The 13,417-nt window shown below is 32.6% G+C and overlaps 1 protein-coding gene across 40 annotated transcripts in view, besides 1 other annotated feature; it reads left to right on the top strand.

Annotated features, from left to right (window-relative positions):
- Nucleotides 1-10,938, top strand: part of UCHL5 (ubiquitin C-terminal hydrolase L5) — a 47,823-nt gene extending 36,885 nt beyond the window's left edge. For 12 of the 40 annotated variants that reach the window (XM_047422329.1, XM_006711370.5, NM_001350848.2 and 9 more), the window contains 3 exons: nt 153-266; nt 1,997-2,095; nt 6,797-10,938. In XM_047422329.1, coding sequence (XP_047278285.1) covers nt 153-266; nt 1,997-2,095; nt 6,797-6,841 — 258 coding nt within the window. In that variant the 3' untranslated portion in view covers nt 6,842-10,938. Of the gene's footprint in view, nt 1-152; nt 267-1,996; nt 2,096-2,735; nt 3,393-4,371; nt 5,469-6,796 lie in introns of those variants that run through there. The other 28 variants (NM_001350844.2, NM_001350840.2, NM_001350850.2 and 25 more) reach the window with 13 other exon arrangements.
- Nucleotides 12,371-12,536: a silencer, noted in NCBI's record as "fragment chr1:192979786-192979951 (GRCh37/hg19 assembly coordinates)". NCBI's record gives its function as "represses an EF-1alpha promoter that drives an FKBP-Casp9 reporter gene in an ReSE screen in phorbol 12-myristate 13-acetate-treated (for megakaryocytic differentiation) K562 erythroleukemia cells {active_cell/tissue: K562(+PMA)}" and the evidence as "EXISTENCE:reporter gene assay evidence [ECO:0000049][PMID:32094911]".

Here is a 13,417-nt window from a genome sequence, read left to right as displayed (position 1 = left end):
TTTTATCCTTTAATGCTGCTGTTAGGCGGGCATGCTGCTATCAATATGAAGAGTAAAAATTTGAAAATAATCATACTGTGTTTATCATTTTAAAATATTCTGAATGTAAGCCTCAATTATTAGGGTGTGCTATTTCTTTTCCTTCCCCCAAGGAGGAACCCATGGATACAGATCAAGGTAATAGTATGTTAAGTGCTATTCAGTCAGAAGTTGCCAAAAATCAGATGCTTATTGAAGAAGAAGTACAGAAATTAAAAAGATACAAGGTATGTTTTTAAAAATGTGTTCCTTTAATGTTTTAATATAGAGCAGTATATTTCAAGATGAAGGTACATTGAATATCTGATGGCTTTCCCTCCTATCATTTACCAGATTTCAAATAATTTGTTGATTCTCTTATCACTACAAAGATAAGTAGTGAGATGTCTTTCATTTTTATTTTTGTAAAATATTATTAGGAATAGAATTTTAACCTATTTGGTGTTTCAGTTCACTGTAGTTATTATTCCTTTTTTTTTTTTTTTTTTGGACAGAGTCTCGCTCTGTCGCCAAGGCTGGAGTGCAGTGGTGCAATCTTGGCTCACTGCAACCTCCACCTTCCAGGTTCAAGCAATTCTCCTGCCTCAGCCTCTCAAGTAGCTGGGATTACAGGTGTGCACCACCATGCCTGGCTAGGCTAATTTTTTGTGTTTTTAGTAGAGACAGGGTTTTGCCATGTTGGCCATGCTGATCTTGAACTCCTGACCTCAAGTGATCTGCCCGTCTCAGCCTCCCAAAGTGCTTGGATGTGGAATGTATATGTCATTTGTCATGTGTTATGGTAGTAAAGGATTATTTTTCATTTGAACCTCAGTGTAAGGCAAGAACTGTCCTTTTTGTTGCTCCCCACAGTGTCAGTAAAGTGTTTTGCATCATACTTAACAGACAACAGATACTTTGCATCATACTTAACAGACAACAGGTGATTGTTAAGTGAAATGAATGGGCCTTAAACTAGTAGGATTTCTTCAGGTGAAAGTGGTAGGGGCAGGCAGGCAGGCTCTAGAGTATTCCAGGCGGGAAAAAGGGAGGGACAAGTTCATGGAGATAGGGAAGGAAAAAATAATAGCTTTCCCAATTATTTTCCATTTCACATGATATTAAAAAAAGTAAATTACCCATCTTTATATATACTTATGTGTTTATTATGTAATTAACTAACTTTTAATATCTGCCCAAAATACAACACAAAGTTTCCATAACTTCCATAAGGTGTCCTGCTTTATTGTTTGGGAATGCTTTGTTTAAAAAAAGATAAAATGATTGTCATACTGCTATAAAACAAACATGTTAAGCTTTAATTTAATTAATTAACTGAAGGAACTCTAGTTAAAGGAGAAGTCAGAGAAGCTCAAATTTATATGAAGTTTAAATGAATTTATAAGAGATGGAAACTTTCTATGGAAGGGCAATCAATTATACTTCTACCAGGCAGAATATATAATAGGTCAGTGGCAGTAAAAGCCTAGAATCACATAACTTGAGAGGATGTTATCTAGACAGTGCATAGTTTTCCACTGAAGTAGAAATTTTTTCCTGCAGTGTACCCCCTTTCGATAAAAAATAATCTGAAGGAAAGATTGTGCTTGATCACAAAATAAAGCTGGTCTCATTAGACTTTGCCTGATTATTTGCACAGGTGAAGTAGCAAATGTTAATTTAGCTTGTAGATGTTTAGTTGTTTTTATAAATGACATTTTCATAAGTAATGTTAGATTGGACTTTTAAAGGCCTCTATTATTTGCTAAGTCAGGGGCAGGAGGCCCTTGCCCAAGAAACTCCCTCCACATGTTTTATTGTGTTAATTTTTATTCTCAGTGGGAATGGAATCTCATTATTTCTAAAATCATTTTCTTATGAGAATGGATATACCATTTCTATTTTGAGTTGGATGCAAAGAATAAAATATCAAAATTAGCAGAAATGTAGTTAGTGTGGATTGATGTTTTATTTTCAGATTGAGAATATCAGAAGGAAGCATAATTATCTGCCTTTCATTATGGAATTGTTAAAGACTTTAGCAGAACACCAGCAGTTAATACCACTAGTAGAAAAGGTAAGTATTTTATTGGTAGATACTTAAATTAAGTTTAGAGTCTCCAAAAACATAAAATGTATTTTTTATTTTTTGCTTGAATAGAGGTAAAATTTTTGGAAGCTTGTACGTTTTTATTCTTTTGCTTTTGCCTCTTGTTTTCTACTCTGTAAGAATTAGTTCAATTGAGACTGTAAAACAAAAATAAAGAATTACCCCACTGCTTTAGGCTTCCAGATTCTTAGTGTCAAGACCTCAGGTTATGCTGTATTAAAATAAAATTTAAAACACTTCCTTTAAGCAAAAGTAGATTTTTAATGCTGATAATTGAAATAATATTTTCCTATTTAGCAAAAATTTGAGTTGATATAACAGAATTTAAAAGTAGAATGGACATTGTTGGGTTTAAAAAAAAAATAGCCTGTACTACGAAATAGGTTTTCTTATTTCTAATTTAGTATCCATTCCACTGAGGGAAAACTAGCATAAGTTAGTGAAGAATTCTGATTTCTATGATTTTTTTCATAAGTAACAATAAAATATTTGTTGAATAAGTAAAATGCAGTTAAATTGTTTTTAAGTTCATACTGTAAATCAGTGTTTCTGAAAGTGAACATCAGTGGATACTCTTTAAAATACATGTTACCTGGCCCCTCCCCAGATATTCTGATATAGGGGAAGGATTCTTTAATAAGTTCCCCAAGTGATTCTAATGCAACTGGTCTGTGTACCACAGTTTGAGAAACACTTTGAGAAGACACTACTAGGCAAATAAAATTTTGGACCATTAACTTAAAGACGAGAATACATGGTAGGTATATTTTCCTTATTAATTTTAAAGTTTACAAAGCAAAGATTGATTTCAACCAAGCTGTTTCATGTTATACATTCTAAATAATATGAGATGTGAGCTAATAAGTTTTTTGTGTATATTACCTTATTGATTGAAACATGTGACCCAACTTTTAGCATTAAATGTAAAAATTATTGCAGAAGACTGCTAAATCTTCTCTTTTCCATTATAGGTTTTTCTGTTCATGCATCTCAGGGTGTATTCTAAGATGGGAAACTGTTTTTAAAGTTTTAGATTAATACAGGGTCCTGTGGTTCTCAAAATTGCTTGGTTAACAAGAATACCTAGATATGATGTTATTAATCATATCAAATGTTTTTCTGTTAAAAATATTAAAATAACTATAAAATGTGCTAAATATGTGATACATCAGATTTTAAGTTAGATAAATGTTACTAGGGACTAGGACCCTTAGATAAATATTAAATGTATAAATTTTGCATTAAAATTGATCTGTGAACAGAATTTTTTGTGTGTGCAAATTAGTAAGTAAAAGAACCACTGTTGTTTGATTTTTAATTACACTATATCCCCAGATTTTTTTGAGAGCATAGTTAGAGAACAACAGCTTGTCAGCTTAACATTAGAATAATTATTCCTTAGTTCACATTTTTTGGACACAAGGTGGCAGCATATAAATACCTGATGTTAGTGGAACACCAACTCTGTTGTGTTTGCCTTCATTTTCTTAAGGAAAGTAGTTATTGACCTTCTAGTTGCTTATTTCTCTAAGCTGTTCTTTTATTAATATTCCAGAAGCAATATTGAGATAGATTTATTTCTTATATACATGCAATAACTATTATTCTCCTAGGTTCTGAAGGAGCTTAGACTCATTTAATTGGAATTGTTGAAATGTTTTAAATTATTCATCAAACATTTATCTAGCTGCGAGGATATTCCAGGCACTCTGTTAAGGTCTAGGGATGTATACATAACTGAGACATATTATTTTCTCTTAAGCAACTCATGGTACAATTTGGGAAAGGAATAAATGAACAATTATGGTATTGTGCTAAATAGTATTATTTTGATAAATGCCAGGATAAAGTCAGGCTAAAGATCCCCAGCAAGCACAGGGTAGCTCCTAAATAGCTTTATAGCCACTTAAAATTTCACATCCATAAAGTTTTAAATATGTGGTGGGAATTAAGTGCTTAATCTGTAGCACTATATCCGTTTCCTTTGCAAGAATATATTTTTGTTCATCTTATTTTGGAAAAAAAAGATACCATATTAAAATATCATTTTCTGCAGATAAATGCAAATTTAAAAAATAAAGCGTGTTGAAAAACTGTTAGAATAAAGATTAGATTTTATAATTATATAAAATCTTTACCAGTGATAGTTAATTACTTAATGGTAATACTTCTAAGAAAAATTACCTATAGAATTCAGAAATAGATAAGTTGGAATAGTGGATCTTACTGTGTTTTGTTTTCAGGGAAAATAGGATAAAAGAACAAGGTGTGAGAAGGAATAGAAGGAAACAAACAGGAAAGATATGGCTGCACCATGCAGTGCTACTATATGCTGAGATTCTACAGGATGAGATTTTTGAATAGCTGAGGCAGTTGCCTATAATCTGTGATGACATAAAAGTATTTGACCTAAAATCTTTTTATTTGCAAAATAATAAATAAAAAGTGATTCTCCCTCGGCATGGCTATAATGAACTTGGTTAGAACCTATAAATGTTTTTGTTATGTGAGACTTTTTAACCGATGAATTCGTTGAATACACACCACATTTAAAAACTGCCTAGGAGGTAATCCAAAAATATATAGTTATAAAACTTCTTGTATTATGTACCAAATCTCTTTCTTAAAATATAAAATAAAATTATCTAGTTTAAGATTACATTTGTGAGACTTCTATTTATTCAGGTATATTTATGATTAACAAATTTTTGTCTACACATTTGTATGTAATTATGAATCATTGTCTATCTTAAATTTTTAACTACCAATAACTTAACGTGATGTAAAATCATAAATTCCATTGCTATGGGGAAATCCAAACAACTTCACAATATTGAATTTTGTCCACATTTTACTATGACTTTGTGATTCAATTGGTAATAAGTAAGCTTCAGATCTTTTTCTATTTCTTAATAGAAATAAGGTAGAAGAATAGTTAAGGCTAATCACAACAATATCTACATTAGTATCTATTAATGCAGAATTATCTGATTTGAGTCAGTACTTTTTAATATCATTGGTACACTGTATAGAAGGAAAGTATTTTTAACAGTATATATTTTTCCATGTTATTTATATGATTTTATTTTTATTTTTTAACAAAAACAGACCAAAATACAGGCTTTGAATTTAAATCTTATATATATGTTACTTATTAGCTGGAGCTTTTAGGCACTATTTACTTTCTTATAACCTCTTTCTCATCTGTAAACTGGGAATCATACCTACTTCACATTCTTGATGATTAAATGAGATCATATCTGTAAAGTGTATAAATTAGTGCTCAATTAATTGTGATAATTATTTTTAATTTTAATAAATGTATAGACACTCTGCCTTATATGTGTTTGCTCATTTAATTATGTTGTAAAGTTTATATCAGAAACCAGTAAATTTATTTCTTGTTAATCCTTCTCAATATTCTATTAAGTATACTCAGATCAATAAGGAAAGAAGCACATACTTTTATTTTAAATTATGCCTAAAACCAAATTATATTTATTATTTGAGGACAGAAAACTTTGTATGAGATGCGATACACATATCAAATTACAAATTATGCTTGTTAACTAAAAACGTTGATGTTGGCAATTAACTTTATTATTTTTAATATGACACACAGACTATTTGCTCTTATTCATTCTAAGGCACAGCACTGTTTTATCATACTGTTAAATAATAATTATACTACCTAATACATTACAAAAAGAGATTGTAATTGTTTTAATTGCTGTATTTTTTATTTAAGGACGTTTTAAAAAAAGTTGTATAATGTAGAAGTCTAATTCATTGACTCTTCTGAAGTGGCACAGTGGAAAAATATTGCATTGTAGTACTCTAAAATCTTGCTTTTAGAAATGTCTTCTGAACACCAGCAGAACTGGCATCATCTGAGAGTTTGTTAGAAATACAGAACCTCAGGCATTTTACTAAATCAGTCTGCATTTTAACAGGGTCTCTAAGTCATTGGTATATACATTGAGAAGCAATGCTATAAAGCATATGTCTTTGATCTGTATTGAGGACTTACTGTATACTAGCTGTGGGACTTTGGTCAAGCTTGATAACATCTATAAGCTCTGGCTTTTTCATTTGCTAAAGAATAAAACAAGTACTGTGTTCAAGCTATATAATTGTAATGAAGATCTATTGAACTAGTATGTAAAAACATTTTTTTTTAGGTCATATAAATAAAGTTTGTTGACACCAAGGATACATAATCCTTTAGTGACATTATGTTAAAGTCACTTAAACTGTTATGTTAAACTCATTTATTCACATTTGCAGAAACTAATGTAAGATTTTTCTTATGCTCATGTGAATAGGAAATGGGCAAATATGTGTATATATATTGTTTTGGAATACTCATGAATGAGTTTGACTTTATGGAATTTTTAAATTATTACAATTATAATAATTCATTTCACCTTCAGATAGGAAAGAACTGCAAACCAAACATGATCCTTTCTTAGGGCAAAGAATAACTATGTAATTGTCCAGGAAAAGTTTGTTATAAGTCTCAAGTTATAAAACATAATGCTTTAGAAGTCTTATAAACAATGTATTTCAAGCCTTTCAGCTTGAGAATACCCTCTTAGGCACATTTTATTCTAATATAGTCTAAAACTGACTTTTAAAATTTTGTAACATACTATTTTTAATTTTTAGGCAAAAGAAAAACAGAACGCAAAGAAAGCTCAGGAAACCAAATGAAGATGTTTTCAGATATGTACACATTTCTGCTTCTGCACATATTTTCATGGAAACCATTATGTATAAAGAACTTAGAGCAACATCCTAATTGGCTCAGTGCACGTTTGGCAATAGTGCCAGCCTGTCTTGTCTTTAATGCATGGATTCATAAACTTCTTCCCTACCTGCATCATGTGCATGTAGTGCATATTAAATGAAAGTGATATTAAGAATGCTTTCCCAAATTCCATTATTTGACATTGAGTCTGACAACTGTTAGTTTTCTGGTTGTCTAACTACCATATGAAGCTAGAAAATGCACAAACGATATTCCTTATCTGTAATTTAAATACTTAAAATTTGCAATTGTCAGATCTTGATTAAACTGGTTGTCTTATTTCTTCTCATCATTAACGGAAAAAAAATCAGTATTTCTATCTTTGATATCTAAGTGTTTTGAGGATTTTAAAACTGAATTTTATCTGCTATACCAGTTATTTGAGAAAGTATGATTTTAATGTAAATCATTTAAAAAGGACAAAAGTATAATTTCCAGTGATTTTCACTGCTGTCAGTAGAAAAGTAATAAACATCTCAATTTTATTTTAGTAAATTTTCTTCAAGTGTTTGGGGTTATTTGTTTATGTATTAGAGAATTGTTTCAGGAAGGTCTGAGTATTATGCTTCAAAGCAAAATTTCAGGTTAAGAAGAAATTGTAAATCTTAAAGAATGTTGGTGTTACTCTCAATGGAATATTGTTTCAAGCTTGTAAGCTGTGTATAAAAAAACTGGAGGTCTGACAGTTCATGTTATCTGCTTTTTTAAAAAGATGGTAGTGGTGATGGGGGTCTTTCTATGCCAATTTGAATAAATTTCGTACAGCCTGCAGTTTTCAAGAGCCATATGTAATTTGCTCACAATTGATTTTTAAAAATTGATTTGGGAGTTGCTTTGTAATAATCTTCTGCTTCTAATCTTCCTTTGCAAGTCAGACTTTAAAGAAGACTTTATAAAGCTTTCTTTTTTAAAGGAAGTAACCTACTTTTTTCTTTATCAAGAATATTTCTGAGGTTGATACATGACTTTAACATTTTATTATTTATTGTAAAATCAATTTAGCATAATTTATTTTATTAGGGAGAATGTGTACCCATCTTCCAGCTTCAGCACATTTTTAAGGATTGTTTTTAAGCTTAGTAATTGTGGTATTAAATGACTTAGAACTAATGGAGAAAAACCTGATAGGAAATTGATAGAAAAACGAATGAAATATTTTTCATACATAATTTCAGTTGGAGGTAATGGAAAATATGTAGTCTCTCAGTTATTTGTGGGTAAATATGTTTTGCTGTTGATACAGTAATAATTATGGAGTGTTTTCAAAGCCATGATATAATTTTTAAAAATAGATTTTTAAGGAAGGCTCATCTTGATCTCATTCGTTTATTTCAGCTTAATTTATATATTCTTTCCTATTGAGGCTTAAATTTTGTTAAGCAATGTGAGGATTATTGTGGTAAGTTGTATTTAGTAATCAATACAGTGTGATACTGGCACTAGGATTGACAAATAAAGCAATGGAACAGAAGAGAGAGCCTGAAAACAGATCAACGTTTATATGATCACTTGATTTCGACAAAGGTGGCAAAACAATTCAACAGAGAAGGAAAGTCTTTTCAACAAATGGAGCCAGAATAGAATAGCTGAATATCCATATAGAAAAAAGTGAACAATGACCCCCTACCTCACAAAAATGACTTTGAGATGAATCATAGACCTAAATGTAATATTTTAAAAGTATGAAGCTTTTTAACTGAAAACAGATGATATTTTTGTGACTTGGGGGGTTAGCCAAAGGTTTCTTAGGTCACAGAAAGCAGTAACCATAAAAGATCCAAAATTAGAGCTCATCAGAATTGTCATTGAAAGTGTTAACAAAAGTAATATCAAATGACATTTGAAAAATATCCTTGTAAAATGACTATATTAATAGGTATAAGGATTTTTCTTATTAATCTAATAAAATTCCTTAATAGGAATTTCCATAGCTTAAGAGTGGTTTATTTTATCTGCATCTTCTTTGGTGATTGCAAATCCCTTGTGATACTTCATGATTACTTCTGTCTGTGAATAAAGAAGTGTGACTTGTCTGGGTGCTATATGTTGCTGGTTTGAAATTAAGTCATGAAGCTAGAGGGTAGAGAAAATGGAAGAATAAAGAGCAACCCATAAATAGATAAATGCTATTTGGAAAGTTTTTTTTAAATGATATTTTATAGAAAATCTTGCTCATTTCATATTTAGTCTTTTCTAAAATTTTATTTAATTATTGGGTAGGTGAAGTCGCTTCCATTCTATTTTAAGCCTTCAAAATAGCCAATTCTAAGGGATGTACTTCTGTTATTATCAACAAAAACCTTGCCAACAGCTGCGGCACTGGCTACTCTCACCTTATATGTTTAGTTCCCAAGATAGCTTGCCCTTTTCCGAACAGCAGTCAGCTCGACTGTGCCACTAAAACAGACAAATATTTGCTCGGGAATCACAACCACGGGGACTTGCTCCCCCAGTTAGGACCATGGTACATATTTGTGTGTATATTATGGTGTTACATGCAGATTAATACTTTCAATTAATCCTCCTAGTTGCCTGTAACGTTAACATTTCAAGATGCATTTAGATATTTTTATCCTGTAGGAGGATTTTGTTTATTTGAGGGAAAAAAAGGGCTTTTAATGTATTCTCCTCAAAAACCATTTAGAGAAAACAGATAAGTAAAAATAAAATTTAAATTACCATATTTCTATTTACAGGGATGAGCACATTAACATTTTATGTATTTAGTGATCCTTTTTCCTCATGTGTACACATATGTTTTTGTGTGTTAGTCTTGCTTGCCCTCCCCATAGTCTGAAATAGTTCTATGAAGTTTATATTATTTTTAAACTTGATCATATACAAATTTTCAGGAAACAAACCACTCTAGCTATTTGAAGAGGAATGCAGATTTATATTGGGAGTTTTGAAACTACATAGTTTCTTACAAAATCATTGGAAGGTTTGGAGGAGCGGTTTCAAGCTTAAGTCTCCAGAGATTACTCCCATCCAAACATACAGTATTGGTGTACCTAGGGAACTGCTCACTTTTGCAACAGTCAGGGAGTTCACTGTTGGAACTATTAATGTTAGAACATGTTGCAGTAGTTGTGTTCAAGGAATGAGGAACCTGCTGTAACACTTAATGACTGTGCACTGGAATGCAGAAAAGTTAAACCTTCTATGCCTAAATGCCTAAAACAGACAAACTGGATAGTTATATTTTTAGAATGATACTGCGTTTTTTAGAGTAGTATGAATTCCTAGATCAGTCAAACATGCATGTTATTTAGTTTGTTCTTTAGTATATTGTTAACTGGCCTAAATCCAATGACTGACATGGTAAAGATTCACCACTTCTAGCATACTGGGCACTTTTTATTTTTGACTTGATTACATTAACTTTTTGAAAACTATTCAGTGATTTATTCAGCCAATCTTATGAGGTACATCTGAGTTGTTCTAGATGCTAGAGGATAGTATAACAGGAAAAAGCCCCTGCTCTCATGGTGAGACAGATAATAAGTATGTAATACAACTTTTCAAATAGTAGTATGAATGGTAAAAAAAATAGGGAAAAGGGGTGGGAGGAGCTGAGGTTTGATAGAATGGTCATGGAAGATCCCATTAATGAGATGTACTTTAAGTAGAGACCTAAATGAAGATAATTTTTTCTCTAGTACTGAACTAGCACTGTACAAGTGGATTGCATATAGGCATATAGGCAGAACTTCTCTAGTACTGAACTAACACTGTACAAGTGGATTGCATATAGGCATATAGGCAGAACCAATGTGCAATAATTAAGAATATTAATTTGCAATCATGTTTGATGGTTAAATGGTTTATTAATGTTGGAGTGTCAATATGAAAATGGGTTGAATAAAAGATATATGGAAATGCCTAGGACTACTGCTCTATTTACTTTTTAGCTTATCCATATATTTTATGTAATATGCTTCTTTGATTCTTTCTTGTAGCAATGATAATATAATATTGAATAAACCATAAAACCAGTGGGGAAAGTCTCATGTAGGTGTATTTTTAAAAAACATTTTGAACTGTCCCCCGCCCTCCCATTATAACCATTAAGACTAAAACAGGCTGGGTCTGGTGGCTTATACCTGTACTCCTAGCACTTTGGGAGGCTGAGGCAGAAGCTCAGAAGTTCAAGCCTAGTGTGGGCAAGATGGCAAGACCCTGTCTCTTAAAAAAAAAAAAATAGCTGGGTATGGAGGTGATATGTGCGTATAGTCCCAGTTACCCAAAAGACTGAGGCTGGAAGGTCCCTTGAGCCAGGAGTTCGAGAATGCAGTGAGTTGTGATCAGCCACTGTACTCCATCCTGGATAAGAGAGTGAGACCCTATCTCAGAACAAAACAAATGAAAACAATGAAATTACTTGAAAAAATTTGGGAGAATATTTTATTACTTAGGGACAGGGAAAAGCTTCCTAAGCACCAAAGAAAACATAAAAGAACCCAGAAGAGAAATACTTGACAGTATAAAAATTAAAAATTTCTGTAAGGCAACAGACACCATAAAACTTTAAGAGACAGCAAGCCAACAAATAAAATTTTGTCATACATAATATGCAATATGCGTATTACAATCATTAGACAAATGTATAATACACAGTTCCTCTGTAAATTACATATTATATATGAGTAATATATTTATTGTGCAATCCTGCAATAAAGCTATAAAATATGATTGTAGGGTGTTCCCCATTGATGGCTATTCTAACATTTTAGATATATTTCACTTTATCTTCACACCAATCTTATGAGGTAAGTATTAACTTCATTTTAATACTTAAAAGATATCTGCTTTTTTCCTTCTATATACCTTTTCCCTTTGAATCAAACCATCTGTGTTCTGAGTACTCAGTGGGTGATCTGCAGACTAGCAGCAATGAGCATAACCTCAGAACTTGTTAGAAATGCAGAATCTGAAGTCCCACCCCAGAACATTGGAATCAGAATCTGCATTTTAAAAAGATGCCCAGTTGATTAAATTACATTTATGCACATTAAAATTTGACAGATAATCTCAGTTATTTTTATGCTTATGGAAATAATTATTGTCTCCATAATCAATAGGCATTGTGTTTTATTTTCTGAATTTAAAAAATTGGTTTTAGGACTTCTACAATTTCAGTAGCCAGATGTGAAAATGCAATCAATTAGAAAAAGTTATTAGGAATAAAATAGAAAACTATTCACAATGTGCCAAACATTGTCCTAAGTACTTTTTTTTTAGACAGAGTTTTCTATTGTTGCCCAGGCTGGAGTGCAATGGTGCCATCCCGGCTTACCACAACCTCTGCCTCCTGGGTTCAAGCGATTCTCCTGCCTCAGCCTCTCGAGTAGCTGGGATTACAGGCATGTGCCACCACACCTGGCTAATTTTGTATTTTTAGTAGAGACGGGGTTTCTCCATGCTGGTCAGGGTGGTCTCTAACTCCCAACCTCAGATGATCCTCCCACCTTGACCTCCCAGAGTGCTGGGATTACAGGCGTGAGCCACCATGCCTGGCGTCCTAAGTACTTTTTTGCACAGTAACTCCAGCCTTCACAGATATGAAATAAGTCACGTTATCCCCATTTTTCAGATGAGGGACACTAAAGCACAACAAAAGACAATGGGTACATTAGTTATGGTGTATTGGAATACTAGGCAGTCATTGAAAAGAATATGAATGTCTATGTATTAATATGGAAGGATGTCTGTGACTTATTTTTAAGGAAAATGAAAGTATAAGTAACTTGCCCAAGTTCATACAGCCAGTAAGTAGTAGATCTAGGATTCAAACTTGAACTCGTGCTTCTCTCTTTCACTTCCTCCCTCCCTCCATTCCTTCCTCCCCCCGCCACACTTCCATCCTTCATCCTTCCCTTCTTTCTTCTTCTTCCCCTTTTTTTTTTTTTTTTTTTTTTTTTTTGAGATAGAGTCTCGCTCTGTCACCCAGGCTGGAGTGCAGTGGCACAATCTTGGCTCACTGCAACCTCTGCCTCCCAGGTTCAAGTGATTCTCCTGCCTCAGCCTCCCGAGTAGCTGGGATTACAGGTGCGCACCTCCATGGCTAATTTTTGTATTTGTAGTAGAGACAGGGTTTCACCATGTTAGCTAGGCTGGTCTCAAACTCCTGGCCTCAAGTGATCCACCCGCCTTAGCCTCCCAAAGTGTTGTGATTACAGGTGTCAGCCATAGCACCCTGCTCTCCTTTCTTCTTTATGGTAATTTCTTGTGATGCTCAGCTGCACACATCCTTTATATACTTCCACGATTCTTCTCATAAAAATGATTCTTAGAGGTAAAATTTCATTATGGACAGAATTGTACAATGGAGGTGTTTATGTGAAAAAACTATCTCCGGATTTATTAGAAGCTTTGTAGGAGACATTGATGACCTTTGCTGAGTTATTAAGGAATGCCAAGAGTAAGTGGTAACTATGAGCTCTGAGATCCAGTGGCTCCCTGAGGGCTGGTAATTAGGA

Source organism: Homo sapiens, chromosome 1 (genome assembly GCF_000001405.40).
Source record: "Homo sapiens chromosome 1, GRCh38.p14 Primary Assembly".
Classification (NCBI taxonomy): domain Eukaryota; kingdom Metazoa; phylum Chordata; class Mammalia; order Primates; family Hominidae; genus Homo; species Homo sapiens.
Note: the sequence above shows the minus strand (reverse complement) of the source record. Positions and strands in the feature narration are given on the sequence as shown.